The 3,062-nt window shown below is 39.3% G+C and overlaps 1 annotated feature.

The window, feature by feature from the left end:
- Positions 2,301–2,470: an enhancer, noted in NCBI's record as "experimental_19843 CRE fragment used in MPRA reporter constructs". NCBI's record gives its function as "activates a minimal promoter by MPRAs in K562 erythroleukemia cells, with activity observed for the non-introgressed 11:20300179 variant allele {active_cell/tissue: K562}" and the evidence as "EXISTENCE:reporter gene assay evidence [ECO:0000049][PMID:34662402]".

Here is a 3,062-nt window from a genome sequence, read left to right as displayed (position 1 = left end):
TATACCAAGGAAATACTTTGCCAGACTTTCATGCTAAATCAGCCAGTACTGAAATTGTTAAGATAGACAATTTGAGTGAATTCCATATCCAAGTTAAATTACCTATGATAACCCATTTAATAAACAGTTAAGCACCTGAATTGGAGAAACAAAATTGATATTTAAGAGGATATTTAAATATCAATTTAAGAGGATTTATATCCTTTTAAATATCAATATAGAAGCTTTCCCATGGAAGAAGGCTGATGCTATAACAATAGCTAAAAGATTATTAGAAAGTGTGATTCCCTCATAGGACACTCCTGGAAAAATCTCTAACAATAAAAGTACTTGTTTCACTGGACGAATTACAGAACAGTTAAATATGATATTATAGATACAATGGCATTAGGTAAAGCTAATTGAATCGACAGGATTGCCTTGGTCAAAGGTATTGCAGACTGATGACAATCAGATCTACTTCCAGTGCAAACTAAAAGTTAATCTTCTATAAATAGTCACTGGTAGGCTTATGCCCCTAATAATAGAACCTCATGTATCTCCTGCTCCTAAACTCCCATACGACTAAATGCTGCAAGCTTTAATGCATTATGCCAAAGTGTATTGTCACAAGGTAAAGAAAGCTTTTCCATGATCCACCAACTGAGGACCATCATGATCTAGAACGCAGAGATTGGGTCTTCTGGAAACGACCTCAGAGAAAGATCAACCTTGCCACTCACTCTGCAGCAGAACTGCAGCCAACTGTTTAAACCATGTTTAAATAAGGCAAAGATTGAGCTGCAACCAATCTGGCTATTTCTATACCTCACTTCTGTTTTCTTTATGTCACTTTCCTTTTCCCATACATAAATCTTCTCCAACCACACAGCCACACCAGAGTTGCTCTGAACCTATTCTGGTTTGGGGGGGCTGCTCATTCAAGAATTCTTTGCTCAATTAAACTCTGTTAAATTTAATTTGTTTAAAGTTTTTCTTTTCACACTAGTTTTGCAGATGTTAATTGGCTTCTATCTGCAATTCTAGAATTGGGCAATATTTTACATCAAAAATGGTTCAGAAGCCAGGTATGGTGGTGTGGACCTGTAGTCCCAGCTACTCAGGAGACTGAGGTGGGAGGATCACTTGAGCCCAGGAGTTCAAGGGTGCAGTGCGCTATGATTGTGGCTGTGAATAGCAACTGCATTCCAGCCTGGGCAACATGGCAAGACCCCCATCTCTAAAACAAATAGAAAAATGGTTCAGAATGCTTCATCCCACCACATGTGCAGGTTATATTTACAGTCAGAGGAAATGAAATGACATACAGAAAGCAAAAATGAGGTATAGAGACAGTCAGTTGGTTAAATCCCTGCATTTGCCTTAACTGAATCTAGTTTGAACAGTTGGCCACCTGCCACAGGCTGAAATTCGGCTGCTATAATTGGCTGAGACTCAGTTGTTGTTACAAAGGCAAATTCCTAAGTTAGGTTTTCTGTTGGTTTATTTGCTAAGTTAGGTTGCAGTTAGTTACACGGACTTGTACAGAGGCTTCTAAAGCCCAAATGTAGTTTGATTTAGAAATTTTTTCATACATTTTCAGCTGGTCATTCTAAGAAACTGCACACACAGGAGTAGCTCTAAAAAGCTGTCCTTCTGTAAAGGAAATTTACATCTAGAACAGAAATCTACATTATTGGAGTATCTGTATCAGGAAAAGGGCTGCTGGGAGATATATTACCTGAGAGAGACTTCAGCTGCATGACAAGACAACCTTTATTCACTGTACAATTCCTCCCCTCACTTTCCCATAACTTGTGCTGTCTGCCACTCCCCGAACCCACAAACTCAAAGCCTCTATTTCTTTCTGTAACTCAGGATGCTACAGAAACTTCAATCATCTGACCCTTCTTTGAGTCTCATATTTTGTGGGACTCCCATGGTTATGCATGTAATTAAAATGATTTTTTTTTTCCTGTTAATCTGTCTACTTTCAGTTTATTTCACAGACTCAATTCTCAAACCTTCAGAGGGTAGAGAGAAAGTTTTTCTCTCCCCGAAATACATTAGTTTCACGTCCTCAAACACAGCCCACGCCAACACTGCCCACAAATGTGCAGGGCTTCATGTTGAAGAGATGGGCAGGTCTGACAGGCTCTGTCCAGTTCTCCACTGCTGCGTACTTTCCTGATGTCAGCCCCGCTGGCTGTGTGCCTCAGCTGAGGAATGTGGCTGTATAGACTCCCCTCATGTATCATGTCTCCAAGTGAAAGAAGTAGAATTTGTAAAAAGAAAAAAATTTAAAAAGCTTATTTCATGTACACTGATTAGCATAAAATTGCTCCTTTGTCTCAGCTTCAAGGGAGGACAATGGTGCTGAGACTCCTGGCTGGGGGGAGTCTTCCTTCCTGCACTCTGAGCTCAGCAAGCCACCCCACACACAGACCCCATCCGCACGGGAAACCAGCATCAGCCACACTTTCAACTGTTAAACAGCAAACAAAGCCATTGCTTTTTCCAAGAACACGGAAAAATACAGCAGCCCTATGATGCTGAGATCCAGGTACACATATTGGATTCTAAAATATACAACTTTCTACATCGTAACACCTCTCAAGTAGGGATAATCCTAAAATTAATAGCACTCTGAAATCAGTAGCACATAAAATAAAGGCATGTCTAATAATGGAGGGTGTCTTGGATAAAAATCTTACAGTGAAAGGCAATAACAGAATGTTAGAAACCGAGAAATTAATAAAAAAGCCTCATAGTTATAAAGCTCTGCGCATCTCATAGAAATTTTCCTTCCCATTCCAACCCTTTAAAGAAATGTCTTCCAAAAGACCGAATTATGTCTTATCAATCTGAATATGAGACTGTGTATTTAAAATTATCTAAGAGTATTTTGTTCCTGGCAAAATTGCATGGAAACAGAACCAACTTTGGGACAACAGAGCAAACAAGTCAGTAGACAGACTTGGTTCTAACTTCCATTTCAGGTATCTCCGATTCCTTTTCCTTTTTGAAGCCTTATTTTCCTGATCTATAAAAGATAGACGACAACATTCCCTTCCTTGTTGTTG

The sequence above is a fragment of the Homo sapiens genome, chromosome 11, assembly GCF_000001405.40.
Source record: "Homo sapiens chromosome 11, GRCh38.p14 Primary Assembly".
NCBI classification, from domain to species: Eukaryota; Metazoa; Chordata; class Mammalia; order Primates; family Hominidae; genus Homo; species Homo sapiens.
Note: the sequence above shows the minus strand (reverse complement) of the source record. Positions and strands in the feature narration are given on the sequence as shown.